Source organism: Homo sapiens, chromosome 5, assembly GCF_000001405.40.
Source record: "Homo sapiens chromosome 5, GRCh38.p14 Primary Assembly".
Classification (NCBI taxonomy): domain Eukaryota; kingdom Metazoa; phylum Chordata; class Mammalia; order Primates; family Hominidae; genus Homo; species Homo sapiens.
Window position 1 is genome coordinate 108,151,616 of NC_000005.10, and position 27,837 is coordinate 108,179,452.

General features: G+C 35.2%; 1 protein-coding gene across 6 annotated transcripts in view; it reads right to left on the reverse strand.

Annotated features, from left to right (window-relative positions):
- The window catches only part of FBXL17 (F-box and leucine rich repeat protein 17), a 523,064-nt gene that overhangs the window by 292,581 nt on the left and 202,646 nt on the right, over positions 1-27,837 (reverse strand). The window contains exon 7 of one of the 6 annotated variants that reach the window (XM_011543577.3): positions 227-27,822. The exons of the other annotated variants lie outside the window; for them this stretch is intronic. Coding sequence (XP_011541879.1) covers positions 27,798-27,822 — 25 coding nt within the window. The 3' untranslated portion in view covers positions 227-27,797. Of the gene's footprint in view, positions 1-226; positions 27,823-27,837 lie in introns of those variants that run through there. 6 annotated transcript variants of the gene reach the window in all.

The following is a 27,837-nucleotide window of genomic DNA, read 5'->3' on the forward strand; positions in this document are numbered from 1 at the left end:
TACTTACAATAGTGGAACTTTTTGAGAAAGTACTGACCTAGGCTCAAATGTTACCCATAAAAATCAAAACTAATCTTTCTATTACGCAAAATGGAAAGGCAATTTACATAAGGACACCTATGTTTCCATTTACATTTTTACCTCTGCGAAAAACCTGGCAGACATTCAAAGGAAGTGATCTAGGGATGATCGACACGCATTAATGGTTCTAATAATGAACACAATATGCTCCAATGACATTCTTTATTCTTAAGAACTTTGATATCAAAGGCAACAAGAATGCTTGAGTTAAATGATTCCTTCTTCCACAGGAAAGCCTAAATGGTCAGCAGAAATCACAGCAAGTAAGAAATTGTGGTCTCAACCTTCCCATTGTGGTCAGTTTCTTCATTTATAAAAGAAAGAACTCAATGGGTCCTCAAGATTTTGAATCGCTGGTGAACCTGAATACATAGGTGACTTAGACATAAAAACATTAAGTAGATACTAAAATGAAACAACTCCATGCACTCTCTCAAAAGATTTAACCAGAAGCACAAAATTTAAGGGGGTACCAAAACACTGAAAAGTCAAGATAATAATTTAGTACAATATTTTTTAAGATAAACATTAATGCAATATGATGGACAAAATATCAACATTTTAAATTAACGCTGCTGTTGTTTGATAATCCTCCACTATTATGCAATGAGAATGGTCATTTCTACTTAACTGGTGGAGTCCCCCACTTGGAAGGACACAATGGTGTCCAACAGGTCGGGCATTGTGGATCTTTCTATATAGTCAATTTTTTTTATTGTAGAGCTTTTATTAACTTTTTTCATTTGGTACAAAATATGAGGGGATATACTGATAAGTGCATATACAGGCATACTTTCTTCTATATTTTTGCCTCGGGCTCTAGTATGATTCAGCAGGATACTGGATTTAAGGATTCAGTCTGTCAGCTGATACAGCATGAAGATACTTAAAACTAAATGCCTCTACTACAGGATCTTTCAGTCTCATAAAAATGAAGAGTCAGTTTTACAAAAAGTAAAGTGAAATACAAAGTACCATAGAGAGAAAAAAATATCCTGGAATTCAGGGAGCATCATGTATCCTTCTGTTGAGAGGCATGAAAATTAGAAAAGGACCCCTGGAAGTGATACAGGATTACCATATTTAGTAAATAAAAATGCAAACATTGCATGAGATATACTAAAAAGTATTTCTTGTTTATGTAAAATTCAGATTTAACTGGGCATCTTATATGGTTTGGCTGTGTCACCACCCAAATCTAGAATTGTAGCTCCCATAATTCCCATGTGTCGTGGGAGGAACCTGGTGGGAGGTAACTGAATCATGAGGGCAAGTCTTTCCCATGCTGTTCTCATGACAGTGAGTAAGTCTCATGAGATGTGATGGTTTTATAAGGGGGAGTTACCCTGCACATGCTCTCTCTCTCTTTCCTGCTGCCATGTAAGGTGTGACTTTGCTCCTCCTTTGCCTTTCACCATGATTGTGAGGCCTCCCCAGCCATGTGGAACTGTGAGTCAGTTAAGCCTCTTTCTTCATAAATTACCCAGTCTTGGGTATGTCTTTATTAGCAGTGTGAGAACACACTAATACAGCAGCCTATATTTTATCTGGCAATCCTGATACGGTAGCATATAAATTGAATCTTGAAATATGGATCTAAACTAAAAATTTCTATTTTATTATTTGGAAACTACTATTCAACTAGGAAGCATTATGATACATGGCACTGAAGTGAATTAACCAACTAGCAGGATAACACTGGATAAGCTACTTCTTTGAATTTAGTTTTTCCACTTAATATAATGATACAATTTGTTCTGCATACTTTGCAGGGTTGGTAGGCTCAATAAACCTGATATTAAATATTTGTGAAAAAGAATTACAAGGTATAAGTAATGAGAAAATAAGAATTTAAGATAAAGTTTTATTGTAGAGACCAGCCTTCACGTTGCTGATCTACTAGGTGGTAACCCCACAGTTCCATGATCAGCACTTGGTCCATGGACAATAACATCTGTGACTAAGAGTTAGGAAATTTCATTAAAAAAAATATCAAGGTTGGGCCAGCTTGCCTTCTTGAACATGGAGCTTCATTTAAAGTCAGAACCATCCTCTGACACAGGGTTCAATCCATGAGAACACTCTCTACACTGTTGTCAGGACTGGTTACAGATGATTAATTATTGTGCAAAACTGTGTTTAAAAACTGTTTTTAAAACATCCAAAATGCTCAAACACCGTTTATACCTGTATCTATGAACCAACTAGGTGTCCAGGGCCCAATTAACCTGTACAATTTTCCTTCTTGCAGGAAGTGTTTCTTTCTTGTGGCTATATAGGAACTGTCACATAGCCCAAATGAGCTCACTCTGCCAACAAATCTGCCTCAAATCTGCCAACAAATAGCCCAAATGAGCCCACTCCTCAAATCTGCTAACTGGGACATCAGGTAAATGGTGGGTTACTTTACTCAACTGTGTTCCACCTTCCATCAAACAGCAAACATTGAATTTGGATAGTGAAGAACAAGATTATCTTCAAAATGGGAGAATGAGAGAGAGAGAGAGGAGAGAAAGGGATATTACAGAAAACAGAGACACGTAAATTCAGAGGAGGAAAAAAAGAAAACAGTGTGGAAAGGATCACAGCTGAAAAAAAAAAAAAAAAAAAAGATATGCCAGGCATGGTGGCTCACGCCTGTAATCCCAGCACTTTGAGAGGCCGAGGCAGGCGGATCACCTGAGGTCAGGAGTTCGAGACCAGCCTCAACATGGAGAAACCCCGTCTCTACTAAAAACACAAAATTAGCTGGGCGTGGTGGTGTATGCCTGTAATCCCAGCTACTCGGGAGTCTGAGGCAGGAGAATTGCTGGAACCTGGGAGGCGGAGGTTGCGGTGAGCCAAGATCGCGCCATTGCACTCCAGCCTGGGCAACAAGAATGAAACTCAGTTTCAAAAAAAAAAAAAAAAATATATATATACACACACACACACACACACACACACACACACATATATGTATATACATATATATGTGTATATATATACACATATATATGTATATACATATATATGTGTATATATATGAAAAAAGAGGACAAAAAATATTTTTAAAAAGATGAATGAAAAGGGTGAAAAGAGGAACCATGAAGGAGACCCAGCCAACCATTACCCCTGAACAGACCAATGAACACCAAAGAAATTAGGAAGGACCTAATCCTTACAGACTGCTCTGAAAGCAGGAAGCAAAAAATGAAGTCAAGAAACGGGATTTCCATAAATTGAATGAACAGATTAGAGATTAACAAGAAATCAGGCCACCCTTCAGACTTAATAAGAAAAAATAACCTAATTTGCCACTTTCCTCTAACTACCAGTAAAATTAATCTAATAAAACTAATATTCATGATAAGCTGATCAAATCTTTTGTAACCAAGTAGGGAACAAATTAAACACATATAAACTCAAATACAATATATATACACATTTTAAACCTCTGGTGAAGTTTCTTGGACAGAAAAAACTGAGATATTATAATACATACAGCAGGTTCTTACAGCTGTTTGTGGTTTCCGATGAGAGATTAATACAAATTTTAGGCTGGGCGCGGTGCCTCACGTCTGTAATCCCAGTACTTTGGGAGGTTGAGGTGGGCAGATCACGAGGTCTGGAGTTTAAGACCAGCCTGAGCAACATGGTGAAACTCCATCTCTACTAAAAATACAAAAATTAGCCGGGCGTGGTGGCACGTGCCTGTAATCCCAGCTACTCAGGAGGCTGAGGCAGGAGAATCACTGGAACCCAGGAGGTGGAGGTTGTAGTGAGACGAGATCGCACCACTGCACTCCAGCCTGGGTGACAGAGCAAGACTCCGTCTCAAAAAAAAAGAAAAATTTTAGTTGTGGGCTCTACAATTAACCCCCAAGTAGCTAGGAGGGGTAAAACTCTCTGAACTTTGAACAATGAGCAACATTTTGACTAGCAGATCCCTGGAATGCTTAGTAAGAATTTATTTTGATTTCTGATGAACTTACAAGTGTGCCTTCCTAATTTCTCTAGCTCCTAGTCCATAAACTGATTTTCTGTAAACGCCTAAAATGCCATCAGAGTTCAGATATAAATTAGTCCTAGAATAAATTATGATTTAGAACAAAAAATAAAAATAAGAATTCCTTAAGGAATCCATCTTGCAATAAACACTTTATGCCCTCAGGTTATTTTCAATTTTAATTATTATCCTTCTCTGCATTTTGCTTTTAAAATTTAATTTATAGCATATCAAAATTACATAATTCTTATATGCTGCCTGGAAAATTAGAGTACTATAAATAAAAAGGCTACCTTTTGCTGGAAAAAAAGACACTAAAATGTAGCTTTAATTTTAATTTCAAAGAAGCAACCTAGAAACAGTTCAGATTAGCTGAGGACAGTCTTATCCACCATAAACTATTAAAACTTGGGAAGAATATTTGCTATAACCCTAATAGGGAATTATTCTTATTTTTAATTTTCCTTCTCATGATTTCTATTACAATAGGCATCAGATCATACTTTAGTTATTGGTTCATACATATGATAAGAGATCACGTTATTTATTTACTTTTTTGTGTCCAGCACCTAGCACAGTGTCAGAATATATTAGGTGTTCAGTATACATATATATATATACTTGAGTTCATAAAATTAATTGAGAAGACAAAATCCTCTATGAAATGTAAATTGTATATACTCAACATAGGAAAAAAATCAATATATTTGATATCACTAAATAATTTCTGGAAACATGTACAGTAATATGGGTTGTAACTACATAATCCTATTTATATATCTTAGACATATTAAACCGAAGTATTTTTTTTAAGTCATCATTTTTACAACGTTGAGAGTTAAAATTTCCTGGAGTAAAGAAAGTATCAAAGTTTGTGGAAATTTTAGCATCCTATTAGGAATCAATCCCTAATTGTTTTTGCTTTTTCCTTACTTAAAGAAATTATAAATGTGTTGTTATAAAAATATTTGGTATAAATAAGTTTTCATCTTATTTCATAAAAGCAAGTTTCAGGAATCACTTTGTGACTCTATCTAAAATTGCTTTTCCTTGAAATATATTTTTAGTTTTATATATCAAATAAAAACAAAAGAAAAAATTAAAAGGAGCAATTAAACTCGTGCTCTAATCTGAAGTTCCAAGAATAATAATTTGTTTCTAATGCAAATATGTTAGCACATTTGCATGGCAAACAGACACCAGAAAAATTAAAACAATTAAATTAGTGAGGGCCAAGACAATTAGTTATATGAAGGACTAAACTAACAGTCTTTCAAAATTAAGTTATATAACTTTATTTCTAATCATTCTTTAAATAATCTATATTTTCCATATTTAAAAATAAGAATTTCAATAAATCTATTTTATACAATGAAACAAAACACAAGAGTTAGATCTAGCTCTTAGATATGCAAATACCTACCATCTGATAATATGCATCATCTAGTATTCGATTTTCCAGTTCATGCACTCCTATCTATGGCACTGAACAAACTGGAAAAAAAAAAAAACTAGGCTAGGGAAAACATACAAATGTGATATAATTAGAGAAAAAAATTAAATAAATAAATGAAAGGGGAAAGGTTTCTGTCCAAAAGACTTTTCCATTGCAAATAATTCATTTCCTTTGACAACACAGTAGTATTAATACACATTCCGTGAACAAATGTCCTAAAATTCTAAATCACTACTAAATTACATTATTTCATATAGATCTAGTCATGAAAACATGTCAAGGTATCTCTTACAGGAAGGTTCGTTTTTTTAAAGGGAAAATATAGGAAAACTCACAAATAAAACTTTTTTATTTCAAAAGATCATGTTTGCTGTATTCTACGAACAGTTTTAGAAACAGTCTGTGAAGGCTCAATAACCAGTGAAATGAACTTTGATTTTTCTTTAAAAAAAAAAAACTAAAACTAAAATCTGTAGGTAAATTATTATTTAGCATATTATATGCAAAATAAATTCATATAATGGTACTGTTTGAGCTGAGCCATATTTTAAGAAATATAAATACTTGAGAAAAAGAAAATATTAAAAAAAACTGAGAACCACTAATTTTTACTTGATAGAAATTAAAAACAAAAATGTAACCCAGTTTAGCTTTTTAAAAGTTCAATGTTAAGCAGAATGAATGCATCAATTCTATCTATATACCACCTTTCAACCCTAACTTCCCAGACAATGGTAACTTTCCATTAATACTCATTGCCATTTTATTTCATTTAATGTGTCTGCTTAAAAAATAGAGAAGAAAAAGAAAAGAGGGAAAGTTCACAGAAAAAGCAAGAAGTAGATGTAAATAATCAAACTTTACTTACAAAACTTGCCTCTTGAATATCTAGAACATACAATCAGGTATATAAAGGAAATAAAAGGTAAAAATCCTAGAGAAGACTGGGCAAATTTATCCTTATTTTCAGATGATGTAACTGTCTACTTTCAAATTCAAGAGACTCATCTATAAAACTATTAAAACTCATCTATAAAACTATTAAAATTATTAAGTTCAGAAAGATGATCAATTATAAAATTAGTATCCATAAGTATATTAAAGTGTACAAAAAGTATATTCTCATTTACCAACAACGAATTAGAAAACACTGAACCAATATAATTCACAATAGCCAAAAACTTATTGGATACATAAAAGTAAATTTAACATTAAGTATACAGAAATTTTAATAAGAAAATTAAAACCTCAAAAAAGGGGCTTAAGCAACTAGGAAGTAGTGTGTCTTAAAATACTTTAAAGATATCAAATTTCCACAAATAAAACTATAACTGTAAAGCAGTGACAGTGGGGCGTGTGTGTGTGTGTCTGTGTGTGTGTGTGTGTGTGTGTGCATCCACATTTGCACATGTGCATCCATGTGCCCAGGGTGAGGGGAGGTAGAGGCTGACATTATTTAAACATTAAAAAAATAGAGAGACTGGAGCAGAAGGAACAGGGCCAGGCACTATTCTGGTGACATACAGACCAAGGATTAAAGATCCTAAAATCAATTCATCCAAAATTTGATTTCTAGAGAATCAGGATAATAGTCACTGATTATGCAGATAAGTGGAATGTCTTAACTCCGGTTTTAATTACAGCAAACTAGGCTCAGTAGGAAGTTTAAGGTAATCAACCATGAAATATTCAGATTAGGGAATTTAAGACAATAGCATCTGGAAGCTAAAACAATAAAAGAAAGCTTGATGAGTCTTTTTGGTTTTACATTTTCTCTGTGGTGTAGAAGATACCAGAAGAGATAAATATAGCTATGGAGAGCTTCAAAAAGTGGAAGATACACCTGGAATCTCACTGGAACAAGGAAAAGGGAACCAGCATAATATAAATGTTTCTGACAAGTGAGTGGTGGTATTTCAATTAGTAATGCAATCTTTTAGATTTAGATGGGTATCAGAGAATAAAGATCAGAATGTCCTTGACCTTATTACTACAGACAGTTACTCTAAACAGAGAAATCTACAACTCAATATCAAGATGTAGGTATTTTCTCATATCCCTCAAAAATCTAAGCCAAACGACTTTCCTTTCGCTTTTTCTTACTTCAAAACACGATGAAATTTGATCCATAAAAATCCTACAGCAAAGGACAATTTAGGAAGACAACCTTTCAGATCTGTAATAATCCGTTGATAGTGTGATACAACCTGCATAGCATATACTACGGTGTGAATGTCTGTGTCCCCTGAAAACTCATATTTTGAAACACTAACCACCAAGGTGATGGTATTGGGAGATGGGGCCTTTGGGAAGTGATTGGTCAGAGGCAGCGTCCTTCTGAATGGAATTCACTACCGTATCAAAGAGACCCCAAAGAGGTAGTTCCTTCCTCTACTATGTGAGGACTCAGTGAGAAGGTGCCATCCATGAACGAGGAAGTGGGCCCTCACCAGACCCCAACAATGCTGGCACTCTGTTCTTAACTTCCAAGCCTCCAGAAATGTAAGACATAAATTTTTGTCATTTATAAGACAGTTTATGGCATTCTGTTATAGCAACCTGAATAGACTAAAACATCGTGTAAAGATACACTCAAAAGTGTTCGGATAGACTTTAAATAATGGGTGAAATTAATGAAAATATCTCATTTCTATCATATTTTCTTAACTTGTACTAAATCCACGATGTCTTTTACGAGCCAAAATCCCCTAAATACTACATGAAGATATAAAAGCAGAAATAGTAATGATAAATCAACTTAGGTCCCAGGATTATTTTCTCATTAGGAGAGTAAAAATTTATACACTTTCTCTATATGTAAAAAGAAATATGATTGCAATAGTATACAATGCATGATTACATAGATATCCCTGTCAAAAAAAATTAGAAAAACCTTAATCTCAACAGATTATTTTGCTTTGTCAAATACCTAAAAATAAAAGGGCTAACCAGTGATTTGGAGGACCTATTTGTACTCACGTTGGCCAGGTTTTACAAAACCCAGATCTTAAAATTTATGATGAGCCACAATGAAAAGACATACAGTTAATATAGGTTGCTTGCAATAATCTCTTCTCTGCAGCACCAAAGGCTTTTAATAGGGTAAGTGTACTATAATACCACGATTAGATTTATATGTCTTAGAAAACGGGTTACACACTGATGAACAGCATTAAATTGATATAATGGCTCTTAGTGGTTATAAATGTAGCTTTTTCCTACTTTAATTGGCAATGACTAGACTGACCTTTTCTCTATAATTGTAACTACAGTATAGTAATTAGACAAACCACTACTTTCTTGTGAAACAAAGAGAAGAAGAAGAAAGTTCTCAGTTAGTAGCTTTGAGAATATAGAGTGAACTGGGTTGGCATTCTACTGGGGCAAAATGAGCAACCAATAAGAAGAATAGTTTTTCATAAATTATGTCCTATGTTTAGTTGAATATCTGAACTACAGACAAAAATTCCATAGGGAAGCCCTTTTCATATACTAGAGGCAGCCACCCTGAAGACTAAAACTAGACCTAAAAACAGGGTTTAAAGTCAAAAAGTGAATTCAGCTATTATTTAAGACAGTTAGAGAAAGGACTAGAGAAGAGAGAAGTTTACTCTCAAAGATCTAAAAATAATAATGATTTAAAACACCAAACTGTGGTCCATGCACATGCACCTTTTTTGGGCCCACATAATTCTGTGGGGAGGTAAGAGTCTTGACAAGGGCCTTATTGGAAAGTTAGCTGCCGTCAACCCAGAGGATTTATGGCTGAGGCTGTGAAGGGAGCCATTTCCCTTGCTGAGAACAAGAACGCTTTTCTTCACCCTGCTTTTGGGCCTCTGAGAAGGTCAACTAGTTCCCAAGCCTTTAAGCCTCCACATTGGGAAACACTAGGTTCCTGGAGGAGAGGTAGGGGAAGAGAATTTATTTTTCAACATCCAAGATTATGCATAAATGGTAGCCTGTTAAGAGAGTCCCGGGAGAAAAAACTGTGGCATGTTGGGAATAATTAATCAACAAATAGATACATACATACATACATACATACATACATACATACCCCAGCCCAGCGCAGTGGCTCACACCTGTAATCCCAGCACTTTGGGAGGCCCAGGTGGGCGGACTGCCTGAGCTCAGGAGTTCGACACCAGCCTCGGCAACACAGTGAAACCCCGTCTCTACTAAAATACAAAAAAAAATTAGCCAAGCGTAGCAGTGTGTGCCTGTAGTCCCAGCTACTCGGGAGGCTGAGGCAGGAGAATTGCTTGAACCCGGGAGGCGGAGGTTGCAGCGAGCTGAGATCGTGCCACTGCACTCCAGCCTGGGCGACAGCGGAAGACTCTGTCTCAAACAAACAAACAAAAAAACCCACACAAACTCAACCAGTAAGTTGATTCTTTTCACAAATTGCTACCCATTTGCATCCCAAGATCTACACAGAGGTTAGACCTTCCTCATCAGCTGTAATAACCAGCAGGCATTCACACCACTGGGCAATAATGAATCAACTCGGGGTCCAGGATTACTTTCTCATTAGGATAATAAAAGCATATTCATTTTCTCCACATATGTAAAGAAATTTGGTTGCAATAGGAATTTTTAGTTAAATACTATATCCCTGTTAGTAGTTCCTAAAAGTAAGTTAGAAAACCTAAGTGAGAACCAGGGACCATCTTTCATCAGCAAGAGCAATGATCTTAGACATATAAAAGGCAGGTTAAGGAATTTATTGTACAATGTGTGAAAATCTAGGTTAAAGAAAAGTACAATATACAGTAATTAAAAACTGTCCACGTATGCAAATTGGAGACCATTAATTATAGGAACAGCAAATAAGGTTTCAGAGCATGCTCAGCAGCGTTAAAAGGGATAAATAGAAATTATGAAAACGTAAAGTGGCAAAAGCATTATACAATTATTGCTAAATTATAAACTCTATGAGGCAAATATTGCTAAATTATTAATTCTGTGGCAAATTCATGTTAAATTTTAAACTATGTGAAGGTAGGAAATCCAAATGTTCTACTCACTGCTTTATTCCAAATGCTGGATCAAGGTAGGAGCTCAATAAACACCTGGGGCTGGGTGCAGTGGCTCATGCCTGTAATCCTAGCACTTTGGGAGCAGAGGCAGGAGGATTGCTTGAGGCCAGGTATTTGAGACCAGCCTGAGTAAGACTCCATCTCCATAAAAAATGTAAAAATTAGCTAAGCGTGGTGGTGGTGGTGTGCCCCTGTAGTCCCAGCTACTCGGGAGACTGAAGCAGGAGGATTGCTTGAGCCCACAAGTTCAAGGTTACAGTGACGTATGTCACTGCACTCCAACCTGGGTGACAGAGCAAGACTCTGTCTCTAAAAAACAAACAAACAAACATACAAAAATCTGGTAAATGAATTAATGAAATTATATTCAGTAATTTCCACATATTCATTCTTGAACTGCACTAGCAACTACTTCTCATAATGTTTATAAGGCACAAAACAGTGATATGTGAATAATGTTTCTCAAAATAGCTCACTTGGGATAGAAAATTGTTTTCTACCTATACAACACTGGGCAAGTTATTTAATCTCTAGTGCCTTGGTTCTCTCATTTGAAAACTGGGCACAATAACAGTATCACCTCACAGGGTTATCGGAAATTTAATATATATATAACATTTGGAATAGTAACTGTCAGAATCAGTGCTATAGAAGTGTTAGTGGTTATTGGTATTATTCTGTATTGATGTGCAGAGAGGTTTCTGAAATCCTAAGTAGCCATCCCTAGGTCTTATTAACCCCTCAGAGTAGAGCCCATTTCTGATTCAACTATGTATCACCAGTACAAAGCACAGTGCCTAACATATTAAAAATGATTTTAAAAAATACAAATTGTACTGGATCAAACTCTTATATTACAATATTCTTAACTACATCAGAAAAAAGTCATCTAGTACCATTATGATTCAGAGCATAAATTTCCTACATAATAAATTCAAATGTGACAAGCATTTTCCTCTAACATTTGATAATATCTAATTAGAAGACAGTTACAACGAAAGAGGTTAAAAAGTTTCATTTTTGCCAGGGCCCATCAGAGAGTCAACCTCTATTCCTTTATATTCTCCTTACCATTTATTCATAATTCAAAGACTAAACTCTCAATCCTTTAAATGTATTATTGTGACACCAAAGGCAAGGAAATAAGAAGGTTCAACTGACAAATACACGAAAATGGGCTAAGATGTCAACAATGCAGGACATGAAAACTTTTTTTTTTCTTTTTTTTTTTTTTTTTTTGAGACAGAGTCTTGGTCTGTCGCCCAGGCTGGAGTGCAGTGGCGCGATCTCGGCTCACTGCAAGCTCCGCCTCCCGGGTTCACACCATTCTCCTGCCTCAGCCTCCCGAGTAGCGGGGACTACAGGCGTCCGCCACTACGTCTGGCTAATTTTTTTGTGTTTTTAGTAGAGACGGGGTTTCACCGTGGTAGGCAGGATGGTCTCGATCTCCCGACCTCATGATCCGCCCATCTAGGCCTCCCAAAGTGCTGGGATTACAGGCATAAGCCACTGCTTCTGGCCTTAAAACATTTTTTAAAATCTGTACTGAAGATATGGAGAACTACATATTCGTCAAAATATGTTTAGCATTACATGCAAACTTCTGTGCAAAATTATATGTTAGAGGTCTAAGAAACACTGGATTTGTTTTACTTATAGTTTTGAAACTTTCCACCTAATTGCCTGAAATACTGCTCTCTTTAATTTCAGAAAAATAAAGTCTTTATTGGTTATCTTAACGCAACATGCTAGGTCATCTAAAACCTGGCAATAAACTATTTTTCCAGATTTTATCTCCTGATATTTATAAGCAGTACAAGATAGGCAAGTATGAGCTTTTCCCTGAGCACCTGAAAATAAGATTGTCCTCTAAATCAAACTATAAAATTACTCCGAAACAGAACAAATGAGCAAAGATGCCTTAGTAATCAAAATAGTTCTTAAGCCAAAGCAAGAATTGACATCACAAGGACACTGAAAGAAAGAAAATATCAACAGGAAATAGGATAAGCACATAATTAATTTATTATCCAACCATGACATTAAGCCATACACGAACCAGGACTGTGGTGCACCAAGTGAAAAACATGATCACTCTAAATCAGAAGGTTTGTTCCTGTTAGAATAAAAAACAAGTAGAACAAACTTCATTATTGCCCTTCCAAGTATTACAAGAGGACCCTATTTCATGAATATATCACTCATTTGGTAATTAACGATGTCTTAGTCCAAGCCTCTTCTTAGGCTGTAGTTCTGCTTTATTTAACCTAATTATGCAACTTTCATTTACTTAACGTCTTATTTCCTCCAGTATATGGCAGGTATTTTTTTGAACACTGTGGTGGTAATGTCTCAAATTTCCTTTCAAATTCCACATTCCAACATCATTGTAGGTAGAAATCAAATACTCACTGACTGATAATAATAATAATTATCATTATTATAACTGATATGTATTAAGTAGTTAACTATGTGCCAGGAACTATTCTAAGTACTTCACATGTACAATGACATTTAAATCACACAATAAGTTTATGAAGTAAGTACTACTGCTGTCTCCATTTTACAGATGAGAAACAGGGAAGTTAAGTAACTTGCGCAATGACAAGCAGGTAGAAGGTGGCAGAGCCAGGATTCAAATCCAGATGGTTTGGCTCCAGAGCTGATGCTCGTATCTACTACAGTATTCTGCCCCTTAGTGAAAAATACACTTGTGCCTAAATAACTTATTCCAAGTTTTGTCAGTTATTAAACCTTAAAGCCATTTTTAAATGCTCCAAAATAGCTGATGATAGCATCCACAATTGGCATAGGTATGGAGAAAGAGACACAGACATCGAAATTCGATTTCATGAAATTATTCCTAAGGAGACAACAAAAAGTATACAAAGATATAGAAATAAGAATATTTATCATACAGTTATTTATAGGAGTAAAAATTGGAAATAGTCAGAATGTCTATTAATAAGAGATTTGTTAAATACACTGTGCTAAAATCTTACCACTAACCTGTTAGAAATGGTGGTATAGTTCTATAGTTATTAAAACAAAAAGAAGTTGAGTGACAGGCACCAATTGCAAAATATTACAGACAGTGTAATTACAGAAGGAAGTGGGTAAGTTACACATGGATATGCACATAACTGAAAAGATGTAAATGTAAACAGTGGAAATCTCTGAATAGTGGGATTTTAAGTAGTCTTTTCTTTTAAAAAATATTTACTAAAAATCTACTGTGTGTATGCTATTTTCCATTCAAAGGACCATAAAAGAAATACAAGGGCCTACAATCTAGAGACTACAGTCAATTCTAGACCATGAAAGAAAACAAACGTTGGTGACAAATAAATTACTAATAAAGAAAGGCAAGGGAGTAGCTGAGAATAGTGGGATATAAAAGCCTCACAATTAATGGAAAGCAGCATATAGGCTTCACCTTCATCACTAACTAGCTGCATGAATCTGGACAGGTCACAGATTATCCTTGAGCCTTAGTTTCAAAATAGCAAAATATAGGTGTTAGATGGGTTGTCCTGCTCGGGAGTTCTTTACAATTCTGAGTGTCTGTGGTTAAAATTTTCAAAAAGAGCATGTAGGAACATGAAAACTCCTCCATCCACTACCAGTCACAAGTGGCAGTGTTTATTAATCTGCTGCTTATTAATGTACACTTTAGTCAGTTTGTACAAGATATGAAATACCAAAGCACAGAAAATGGGAACAACAAAGAAAATCCACAAACACACTTAAGTGCTTGTTATTGAAAATATGATTATTCTTCAGGGAGTGAAATAATATAGTAACCTAAGGAAGAAACCCACGTGAGACACCTCACTATCCCACCAAAAACTCATTTTCAAGCAGTTCACAGTTCCCTTATAACATTTCACTTTCATACAGATTAAAAAGTACATATGATCTATCTGACATTGAGGTATATATATAATTCTACTGACAAATATCTCAGGAAAGAGTCAAGTGAGACTTTGATGTTGCATTCCACTGTAATTCAGATATATCAATAATCAAATTTGGAGAGCTGCCAATAAAAATGGAATAAACAGCATTAGCATTTTACCTGCATGCATGGGCCTGGAAAAACAGAGCAAGACCCAAGCAAAGAAAAATAAGCACCTGCCGGTGTCTTACCTCTAGCAGTTTGCCCTTAGGCAGTCCACAGTGCCCTCCTTGTTCTACTCCTGCAAAACACATGCTCCAGGGAGACACCTCTGTATTTTAACATATCTCATAGACGTTTCTAAGCTCCAAAGTTAAGATGATGTGTTATAGTCTTTTTAAAAAACTGATAATAAATAACCTGATTTAAAAAATACTCTAAGACAGTGCTGATCTGTTAGTTGTAAGAAGCATTTTGAACATCAGATAGAGTGTGATTTGATATGTTAACAAAGTGGACCCAGATGATATATGAAAAAAACATGGTAAAAAGATGAAAAGCAAAAAACAACAAGCTATACGCAATAGATAAAGAGTCAAGAGCTTGCTGGCAGAAGGCTAAATTAGCTGACCTTTGACACTACTTCCAATCAGATCCTTTGATTCTTGGAATACATCAAGTTCAAAATTAAATATAAACACTCAAAGTAAATAGTTAATTTTCAGTCACTAGATCATTTTCTCAACTGAGCTAGAAATTAGAAATTAAAAGGTATGCTTCCTGGAATAATTTGAATTTCACTGAATCTCCTATTAATCCATTAGATGTGTAGGTGCAGATAATGTTAAAATATATATTTTTAAATGTAACTATTAAAATATGTTTGGATGAAAAATCCAAGTGAAAAGCATTTCACAAAAATATAAAATAGCTATATACTAAGAGATCTTATTTTATGGCAGCATAAAATATAAGTAGAGATCATTGTGTTTTTTTTAAATCTCTATTATGAATTTGAATGCACTTTGTCCATTTAATCTGAAAACAGATAGTATAATGAGTACACTATAATTGTCCTATTTTCTTCAGATAATTGTGCACACTTCAGTGCTACCATACCATAAGCAATAAGTAACCTTCAAGAATCTGCTAGCGTCTTTACAAAGTTTGATTTAAGACCTTCACTGTCAATTTGCAGAAAACCATGAGGCTAAGATGGTGATAAAGCATCGATGATTGATGGCACCACCCAAGCCACCATTCTAATAATGAACTAATGATTCATGCTCAAGGTGCTTTTGAAACATGATTAAGCCTCCAAACATTTCACTAAGGTGGGTTCCCATTACCACAAGCATAAAAGAGAACTTAATAAGTTTAGCAAGGTTAGTGAATGACCCAGTGATAAAATTTTGGAACAAAAACAAAAACATAAAGGACTTCAGTCTCCTAGCTCCCACTGCAAGCTCTATTCACAGGTATTTGAAGAAGTCTTTCAGGGTAATTTATGTAATTGCTCTGAGTCTAACTGACCTTCTCTGGTGGCCACTGGCAAGTGTTTGCCAAAATGTCAGTGACCAAAAAACTCCTTACAAAGCCATGTTTTATAAAATGAATATGTCAAGAATCAGATGAAAATGTCATCAGTGACACTGACAACAATAAAAGAAAATATTCTACAGATTTAAGAAAGTGAAGAAGATCCATATTAAAGGGGAAATAAATAACCTGAGAAAATGTCATCAGAAAAAAAGTAGACAGATCACAGCTTTAAGAAAGGGAAGAAGACACAACTTAAAGGGGGAAAAAATTATCCAAGAAACAAATGTTCTTTAAAGGGTCAGAAACGGAAAGACTCATTTTACAAAAGCTGGTGGAAAAACTACATCTCTTTTAGAGATCATATCGTTGCTCCTGGGGAAAGGAGGAATGAGGAGATGGGAGGCACCTGTGAGGAGCTTGTCACATCTGAATCCCAAAGTTATTCACTTTCCTATTTGTGTGTCAAAATGAATGACATAATTTGTGAATGTCAAAAGTAGTCACAGCAAATTAAATAAAAATTGAACAAAATTTACTCCAATTGCCCTTAAAATAGAAAGTCAAAAGTTGTTGATTTTCCCACTTTGCAGTCTTTGAAAGTAAGTTTCACTTATATAAATACTTAAAGTCAAACAACCCAGTTGAATACACCTACTCTCTTGAAATTTAAAAAAGAGAGGGGAAGGGGAAGGGTGATCTCATGGAGAAAATTACTTTTACACTAAGACTAGAGATCTTTCTTTCAAATGGGTCTAGCTTACAAATGTGATTATCCAAAGAATGACTGCAGCTCATTACTGATGAACGGAATATATTTTTTGTATACTCTGAAATTTTCATACATATATGATTGGCCCATTCCAAATGACTGCTTTAATAGAACGTTTGAAATAACCCATATGTAGACTTTCCATTAATGGCCTAAGGATTAACTGTTTTGAAGATTAATCTACCTAGGTGGAATCCCAGGCAGTTTGCTCTATCTAAATGCTTGCAGGACATCATTCTCCCAACACCTAGCTGAAGTGAAATCAATGCTAATATAAGCATTAATAAAACACAGAGAGTTGCGATTTAGGATTTCCTACCACTTTGCATTACTATTCCATGTTCTCTCCCATGCATACCCCCAAGAAAACCAGTGTGGATCATCACAAATTCTAAATGCTTTACCAACTGCAACATGTACATAGAGAACCCATTTAGAGGATTGAAATATAGTGTACAACTAAGAGTGGCAAGTTAGTAAAGAAAAATAAAACCATTCAAATTAAACATAAGGAAAATACTGTCACTGGGGAAAGAATCAGGAGTAAAATATATGTGCATCCCATAAACAACAGGAGTGTAGCATTGTAAAGTTATTGTGACCTTGTCCCTTTTTAAACAGCTACATTTGTCACAATGGAAGACGGCCATCAAGCAGCAGCAATGTCTGCGTGGATGTCTAAATGCCTGTCAGGGCCTGCTTGGTAATACTTTACACTTCTCCCCCTCTAACAAGCTTCACTATTATGTCCTACTTACAGATGGATGGCTGCCAAGAGCTATCACACAAAAAAGCTCCTCTATAACATAATGATGTCTCTGTACTGGGAATAAACTTGTGAGAAAAATCTTGGAAATAAAAAGAAGATAGAAATCTATTTAAGGATGTAAATTACTGAAAGCTTCTAATTCCAACAAGATCATAACATCCAAAATATTAACTCTATGTAAGTAATATCTATTTCCTCAAAGATAGTCATTCCATAAATGTCTATACATCTGTAGAAAGAAATGTTATAGAAAACAACTGTTGTTTTGGTTTCCTTCAAATTCATTTACTAACTTTAATGAAGAAAGCCAGGGCATTGTCTTGACATATTTTGTCATCTCTTTTCCAAATAAATTGTCGCCATAAGAATGTTATGTTTCTCCAGCATTTTTATCCCCCTGTATTTAGTTTTTTTAAATCTAGTAAGGTTAACACGTTGTCAGTTAGGCTAAAACTGAATCCACATACCTCACAGATAAGCCACCATTCTATGTTAGAGAATTCAGTGAGTGCTGCTTTAACTCTTCCATTACATTTACAGAGTATTTTTAAGGGCCGTGTCTACCCCCAATAAATGAACTTGAAGATTTTTACAGACTTATTTTGACTTATTCTATCTTGTTCAACTTGAGTAGGTCAATTTTCTTTTATCTTACCTTGAACATAGGCTTATATTCACTAGGTTTGATTGCTATCCAATCAATCCATCAACATGCATTTAGTGAGCTTCTGTTTAGAAGCCCAAGATTGTGGAAAAGTCACAATTCCTGGCTATAGTTTTAACTCTCATGCTGTTAACAATGTAACATTCTAAAAAATTTATAATCCATCTGAGTATAAATTAAAACTAAAAGAAAAAAATGTAACTTACTCTCTCCCTTCTTTCCCCAAACATAAGATTCTCCAAATATATATTCACACATAGCAAAATATTTATGTGCATGTGTGCACAATACAATATTAAAATCATTGGTAATTTATTAATGAAAAAAAATTATATCAACACCAAAAATAGGAATTCAGTTTAAATTCAAGTTAAAAGGAAAACAAATGGAAATCATATTTCCCAAATGAAAATAGCTCTCAAAATACCATAATAAATCATGGAGGAAATGCTCCCAGACATTAATATTTAACAAGCAAGAAAATCTGAGGCAGGTCTGATTAGTGTGTCACTATGGTAAATGGGTATGATAAGATATTATATACATGTCAGAATCACCAACTAATATTAACTAGTTTATGGATGTACTGTCACTAAGGTATTAGTTAGAAGAATTTCAAAAATAAAGATTCCCATTTCTATATGTGGAGTTTTTGGTAGATATTAGTACCATTATTACATATATACCATAGAAGTTATGTTATTATAAGACTATTTTTTTCCTTTTTTTGAGACAAGAGTCTCACTCTGTCGTCCAGGCTGGAGTGCAATGGTGCCATCTCAGATCACTGCAACTTCCGCTTCCCAGGTTCAAGCAATTCTCCTGCCTCAGCTTCCCAAGTAGCTGGGACTATAAGTGTCTGCCACCAGGCCCGGCTAATTTTTGTATTTTCAGTAGAGACAGGGTTTCACCATGTTGGCCAGGCTGGTTTCAAACTCCCGACCCCAAGTGATCTGCCCGCCTCGGCCTCCCAAAGTGTTGGGATTACAGGTATGAGCCACCGTGCCCAGCACTGTAAGACTTTTTATCAAAAGACGTAGATGTTGAAGGCATAAATATAGTGGTGATTATGTCACAGTAACAACTATTCTAAGGAAGGGTCTTCTTTCCCCTCTCAATTTCTCCATAATTCAACAACAGAGAAGAAAAGAACACAGATATTTAATACCACGAAATACCAAAACTATCTTTAATGTATATAAAGTCAAGGGCTTATATTTATATATTTTAAAATTTGTTTTCACATTCTCCCTTTCAGACTCAGTCCCTTATGAGACCTGAAGAGGTGCCTTTTTCTCCATGCATTCTCTAAATGAATACTCAAGATTAAATAGCAGTACTGGAAACTGCAAATGGATGTTATTTTATTGTAATATTTATTTTATTTAATACTTACTTTATTGTAATGTTATTAGCTAGCACTTGTATTTCAGGGACTCCAAGGTAAGTTTAACTGCTTGTTGCAACCAACTATATTTTTAAATTCAGAATAAGGTGTTGGAGGCAGTTTAACAGCTAGGATATTGTGGGGGCTTTGAGGTCAGACAGATCTACATTCAATCCTGGCTCTGCACTTGCTATCTGTGATCTTCAGCAAGACATTCTACCTATCTGTGCTCCATTTTACTTTATCTATAAAACAGGGCATAATGATACCTATGTCATGGAGTTAATGTGATAATTAAATAACTTAATGAATGAAAAACTCTCAGCCTGACTTAATATAAAATTCCCCACATAGGGCAGCTACAAAGTCAGTATCTTAGTCATTTATTGCTGTAAAACAAACCACACCAAAATTTAGTAGCTTTAAAAAAACAACTCTTACTTGCTCACAACTCTGTGGACTGGCTATTTGAACTGGGCTTTGCCAAGCAATTCTGCTAGTTTTACTACAAAGGACTGCAGGAATCTGAAGGCTTGACTAAGATTGGATAGTGATATGGTTTGGCTGTGTCCTCACCCAAATCTCATCTTGAATTCCCAAGTGTTGTGGGAGGACTTGGTGGGAGGTAATTGAATCATGGGGGCAGGTCTTTCCCATGCTGTTCTTGCAATGGTGAGTAAGTCTCACAAGATCTGATGGTTTTAAAAAGAGGAGTTCCCCGCAGAAGCTCTCTCTCTCTTTTTGCCTGCTGCCATCCGTGTAAGACGTGACTTGCTCCTCCTTGCCTTCCGCCATGATTTTGAGGGCCCCAGCCACATGGAACTGAGAGTCCAATTAAGCCTCTTTCTTTTGTAAATTACCCAGTCTCGGGTATGTCCCCAACAGCAGCGTGAAAACAGACTAATATAGATGGTCTAAGATGGCCTTACTCACATGTTTGACAGTTGGTTCTGGCTGTTGTTTAGACTTCCATCTTCATGTGATTTCTTATTCTCAGAGAGACCAGTCTGAGCTTATTCACATGTTGGTGGCAGTATTCCAAAAACGCAAGAACAGAAGTTGCAAGGCTTCTTGAAGCCAAAGCTCAGAAGGCCCACAACGAAATTTCCACCATATTCTATCAGTCACAGCCAAGTCACAAAGCCAGCACAGATATAAGAGGATAGAAGGATAAAGCAAAAGACTCCACCTTTTGATGGGAGGACAGGCAACGTCATATTGCACAAAAGAGTGCGTATATAAAAATACAGCCAGAAATTGTGTCTATACTTTGACATCTTCTATCTTCTACAAAATAGAGAAATTTTTATAGTACCTATATTTTCAACTACAAATAATCACAGAAGTTCTGAAGGACAAAAGTAGGTACTAGCTTGCATTTTCCCCAACATGAAGTAATATTACTCTGCTGCTTCAGTCACAGATTTCAACAGAAGACCAAGATCCAGACTCAACGTCTGATACCATCATTTAAGTTGCTTGGTTGGGTGATTTTTCTGTGTTTTAAGAGCCTTCAACACTTTTCTATTTTTTCTAATCAATAAATTTCCATCTAATTTGATATTTTTACCTACAAGAGCAGCTTTATTTTATTTGTTTATTGTTTTTTGAGATGGAGTTTAGCTCTTGTTGCCCAGGCTGGAGTGCAATGGTGCAATCTCGGCTCACTGCAACCTCCACCTCCTGGGTTCAAGCGATTCTCCTGCTCAGCCTCCCAAGAAGCTGGGATTACAGGTGTGAGCCACCACACCTGGCTAATTTTGTATTTTTTTAGTAAAGACGGGGTTTCACCATGTTGGTCAGGCTGCTCTCGAACTCCTGACCTCAAGTGATCTACCTGCCTCGGCCTCCCAAAGTGCTGGGATTACAGGTGTGAGCCACTGTGCCCGGCCAACAGCAGTTTTCTAATTGAACATTCCACAACAAATAGCATCACCAAGAAATCTAGATTGAGTATGTAGCACTACTAGAAAACATGAAGTTTATAAAAGAAGAAAAATATATCCTTATAAAAAGCACATATACTTTTTTCCTATGAAAATAATCCCGGGATGGGGGAGGGATAGCTTTAGGAGATATACCTAATGCTAAATGACGAGTTAATGGGTGCAGCACACCAGCATGGCACATGTATACATATGTAACTAACCTGCACATTGTGCACATGTACCCTAGAACTTAAAGTATAATAATAATAAAATAAAAAAAAGAAAATAATCCCTAGAGAAAATTTTAATTTTGTGATGTAGTTAATTAGCTATGTCCAAAGATCTATTCATACTGAATTATGAAGAGATCAAATTTATTACAGTAAAGAAATGATAATTGCTACCAGGACTTCCTTTAACACGTGTTTCTCTAAAAGATTCATTTGCAGAGCCACAGTCTTTAATACAATACAACCTATTTTCTTTGAACAATTTAATGGGGCAGGATATGTCACTAAACATACCGCGTAAGAATTGCTTCTATGGAAAGACAGAGGTAAAGGAAAGAGCTACTTGCTTGTTTGACAATATGGTGAACAGAGAAACAGTTTGGGGAATGAAAGGGTATTCCTCCAATAATGGTATTTCTACATTTCCTAACAAGAAATTGATCCCTAAAATTGTCATTCTTTTCAGCTGAGGATGTGCTACAACACTGCTTCATAGAGAAACAGCTGGAAACTTAAGTAGCTTACAATTTTTGACAAATTGGTGCTGCCAAAATTATAATAGTTAATAACAAGGAAAACCTCAATAATGTGAATTGTGTCAAATCTGGTTGTTAATTTATTTTAAAATCCTGATTATGTTATGAGAAGCCATATGAGAAGCCAAACATACATTCAACTGGAGAAAATGCCAGTAGCCAATATCACCTTTGGAGGCTAGCTATTTCTCACCACATTCAGCAAGCTATCATAGCATGAATTGCTGAAATTAGATAATTCTAACTGAAAATTAGGATTAAAGATAACCCTATGCTATAGTTCAGGCATAGGTAATCTACTCCTCAATTTATTTCTTATGGAAATCTTATAAATATATTAAATAACCTTATTTTGTTTAATTATTTCAAAGTACTATATGGATGAGAGATATATTGTACAGGTTTATATGGAATAGTTAACACTTTTAAAAAATAGTGACTATTCTAACATTTTTTAATTATATTGCTCACTAATCTTAATTGCCACCATTTCAAAAGACAGTTCCAAAGTGCATCTTGAACAAACAGAAAAGCAATTAGCCTAAATTAATTGCTTTGCTGATGTGATTTGCAGTAGGTATGCTTGGTGGTTTTGAAACTCCTGCCAGTGCTTTCACAACTTGATGTTCTGATGATTTTTAGCCTCTTTTTGCACCAGAGCAATTAACCAGATAATTGTTCTAATGTGAACCTGGCCTTAATCAGTGTGTTTAGGTTCATAGTAGCAATTAACCAAACACTAAATATACATTTGAAAAGAAGCACTTAAAAGTACTACAAGAAGAGCTAAAGAAAAACTCATACAATTTTTTTTCTCATATAGCTATACTTTTTACACAAAGAAGCAAAAAAAAAAAAAAAAAAAAAGCTGCAACTGTCTCCTCAGCCTCTTTTCAATTAACACAGGTATAAATGGAAGGCAGGCAAAGTTTCTGGTTCCTCACTTCTTCACTCAAAGTATTCCAAAGTCCCTATTAAAAGGGCAAAATGCACTGATTGAACATTGGAATTCTATTCCTTGTTCAAAAATGAGGCTATGGCTTTCAGACAAATGGCATGTAATACATAACGCAAGCTCTATCTGAATCCGAACAATGACATTAAATTTTCACTTTATGAAGCACCAACTTTATTCAGAAATAAATAAATCTGTTAGAAAGGGAGAATCTGAACCAATTGCCTGGATTTCAGCCAGAGTTTCAGCCAAATTTAAAAGAAAATTTATTCATCATACAAAAGCATGATCTATAATTCTCCCAACACGAATGTATTAAATTAATCCTCTGAGCAGGGCCGTGTGTGAGGTGCTGATTGGAAGCAGGGGTGGAGGGGGGCTGTGAAGTGAGGGCACAGGGCGCAAGATGAAGATCCAGGTCCTCCTCACAAGGAGAAAGACTCATAAACAAAACGTCACACATCCGCACAATAATATATGCCACCAGCAGAGCCATGCGCTATAGATTCAGCTAGACAGTAACATGATACAGCACTTCATTACAATCAACATTATTATTTCATCTTTTCTTTAAATGGAATTCATATTCATTTTAAGGGAAATTATTAGTAGCAGTGCAACTATAATTGTTAAGTAACAACTTTGATATTTTTCATACTTCAGTAAGTGAGGAGTAATTGTATACTGTCTTAAATTAAATGTTTTATCAGTTGAAGAATGATATACATAAAACCTTTCCATTTTCATGAAGCGTAAAGGTTCAAGCTGAAAGTATTCTGTCATTCTTCATGTCTTCAGGAAACACTTCCCTTTCCTAATCTCTGAAAGGACTGTCATACAGAAAATAGCCCAGACACTTGCATGTCATGTCTGCCATTTTTAATTATTACCAATCAAGTTCCAGCAATTTCTCCTATGGTTAAGCATGTGTGTACCTATCTTCTAAAATATTTCTATATGCCACTGTTCATAAAATATTTTAGGCTGAAGCAAAATCCCTTGCACTAAATTAATAACTAATCACAGGAGATATTTATCATCTCAAGTCTTTTACAAGAAAATTGTCAGATTTAATCACCTTTCTCATATTTTCACTATTTACTGGGCTTCATTTATCACACATTTTTAAATTTTGACAACAATGAGTTATTTTAATTGCCACTTTTGGTTTGGTGAATTAAGAATAAGACAACTCCTGGGAGAAGTGGGAGATGGTATAAATTTGTCCAAGCAGTCAATAAGGTATCATCATTTTCATCAATAAATGAAGATTTTCTTCATTGTTGGCAATTTTAAAACAGATCTGAGACTAGGATGTCCCTAAATCCATGGGCTTATAACGCCATATTCATCATCATATAAAATGTATCTCATTCTTTCCTATAATTTAAAAACAAATTATGATTTCATAACAAGGAAATATGTTTAAATACTGCAAGCTAAATGCGTACCTCTGTTTACTCATCTTTTTATGGCCTGAAAAACACAAAAGCAGTTGCAGCATTTAGAGTAGCACATCCAGAAATATCCGTAATATGATTCTATGGGAGCTCTTAATTACTACTATTTGTATTTGTAGAAATGTTCACTTATGCACTATTGCTCACTAGGAACCAAAGACAACACAGAAATTAAAAATTACCATTACATGTTAGGACCATAATAAATATTCACATTATTCTATTAGACAAAATAATGTCAACATGGAGAATCAATAAGCCAAAATCACCCACATCAAATTCAGTCCCATCTCATCTCTTGAAGTTAAAAGTCAAAGCAGGCTGAAATATATACATATCATATAGATTTTTCCTTTAAAGTGATTTTACTAGGTTAAATACTCTGGTGTTACATAGTAAGTAGTATTTCCTTAAAAATGATATTAAATAACTATAAGTACTAAAAGAATCAATATCAGAACTAATATTTAATACTACTACCTACCAAACAACTGAAAAAGTTTATTTAAATTTGAATGCACTAAGAACTTCATCTGAGGATAAATGCACAAATAATTTTACCAGAAAAACTTTGCCTGTTGTAGCAAAATATCATCAATTATTTGAAAAAACCCACATACTTAAAAAAGTAGAGATTAATTTTGCCAATTATTTCTTGCCAAAGGTACTGAACCATTTGATGAAGATAACTTTCTTCTTTTTAATTGAAAGACAACTTATTCAAAGTATTAGAACCAGTAGTCTCCTTTAATCTGCAATGGTTAAGTATTCGCTACAACCTACAAGGAAGCATTTACAGATAGTGACACATTTGTAAAAATAATTGTGCATCATTATAAGTTAAATAAATACCTATTCAAAATTCATTAGTGAAATTCTTTTTCAGACCAACTATGAGTCATGTGTAGTACAAAACACAAAAATGGGCAAAATTTTCTACTTTTCCTCAAGAAACATCATAAGAAATGAAGAGTATTTACAAATGGGGTTAATTGGAAAAATTACTTTTTACCAAAAATAAGCTGTTTTTTAAAATATCCACAACTTGATATATGCAGTAAAATATTCAAACATGTCACCTTTTAGATATCCCATATGGAAAAGCAAAGGTACCATTCTAACCATGTTCAGAATGATCAACCATGTCTGATGTCTGAGGTCGGATGACCATTTAATTTATCATTTAAATTAAATATTCTGGAACTTAGGAACAGCAGCAGCACAAATACTAAACCCGACAGAATGCCAAAACAACAGGCATGGGTTGGAACTATCCTGGTCAAATCAGGATATATGGTCACTCTAGGTCTGAAGCAGAATAAGGACATGGAAGACAGTGAGCCCTTCATGGTAGGAGCTTGAACTCTGAAGACCACAAAAATGGGTTCCAGTCTTGGTTCCTCTAGTTGTGAACTATTCAACGTGTCTGGGCCTTAATTCCTTTGTTTGAAAATAGGGATAATTCCTTCCTCAGGGTTGTTGTAGAGATTAAATAAAACAATGTGTATAAACAGAACAGTGTCTGGAACACAGTATAATTAAGTGGTAACTATTATTAGCTATTGCTATTATCCTTGCTCCAGAAAAAAAAATGTATATATATATATATATATATACACACACACACTATTACCTCACTAGCACTACATGGCCAATCATGGTTTTAGAAAGAAGGTCTAATGGATAGAAGAACAGAAAAGGCATGGTTTCGTATCTTATTTTTTTTGAGACAGGGTCTTCCTCTGTCACCCAGACTGGAGAGCAGTGGCACGATCACAGCTCACTGCAATCTCTGCCTCCCAGTCTCAAGCAATCTTCCCAGTCTCGAGCTATCCTCCCAGCTCAGCCTCCTCAGTAGCTGGGTCAACAGGCACGTGCCATCATGCCCGGCTATTTTTTAAAAATTTTTTTATAAAGACGGGGTTTCACCATGTTGCCCAGGCTGGTCTTGAACTCCTGAGCTCAAGTAGTCCACCCTCCTTGGCCTCCCAAAGTGCTGAGATAAGAGGTGAGCCACCATGCCTGGCCTCATGATTTTTTAAAGATAGTTTGGAAGCCCGGAATAATAGTTACTCCAATATCAAACTATCTTTCTAGGGATGGTCTTACACATAATTGTGAATATGTGAATACAAAAAAATAGTGTCAAAAATATGCTTACCTCAAACTAACGTCACTAGTTTAGAAAGACTCCATTCTGTTTCTATAATCCTCTCAGAACTCAGTAAAATATATTTCATTATTCTTTTTGCAAAAATACAAATAATGTCATAGACAATACACAAAACTATTCAGTGGATTGCAGAAATAAGCTAAAATTCAGTTTTACTAAAGCTTCACCTAACCAGGCACATTATTAGGCACCAATAAGTATGCAGACAGATTGCTCTGCATTCTATAGAGGCAAGGCGGTGCTGCTATAAATACCACCCCCAAGCAGCTTCAACAGTCAGCATTATTTTTGCCACCTCTTTATTTCCAAGTTTTCAGGCTTTTATGATAGAAAATTGCTCAAACTTCACACTCAATACTCCAAGGTGAAAAGTATTTCTCTCCTCCACACCACTTAACTTTAAAAGAAAACAAAATATTCTCAAACTCAAATTCAACTCTGCCTGCTGGATTTAATGGATAGGTTTGTTCCCCTTGGGCAATCTTTAAACCTCAGTCTCTAGGAGAATTAAGTAATATTAGGGGATTGAAATGAAATAAAATTCTAAGTCCACTGTGACATGACATTCACAGGAAGATGGTAGATTATCTATCCAGACCTTGAACACTTATAAATACAATATATAGCATATGTTCACAAAACAATTCTTGGAAATAAAACACAATGGGCACTCAGCAAATATTTTATATCACCAACACCTGCTCAAATCCTCTCTGAACTTTATTTCTAAATATCACCGTTTTTTATTGAATCAACGGAAATTTGAAAGAAGAAACAGAATAAACATCCAGAGAAGATCAGGGGAGTTAGAAAAATCTTTATATAAAGCCACGTTGAGTTTTACATGAGCCAAGGTGCTGTCAGTCTCACTGAAAGGGGTGGTGGAGTAATCTGTCACTCTACAACTTTCACCTCAATATACCTAAAAAAACAAAAGAGGGCTTTTTCTATACAAAAATAAA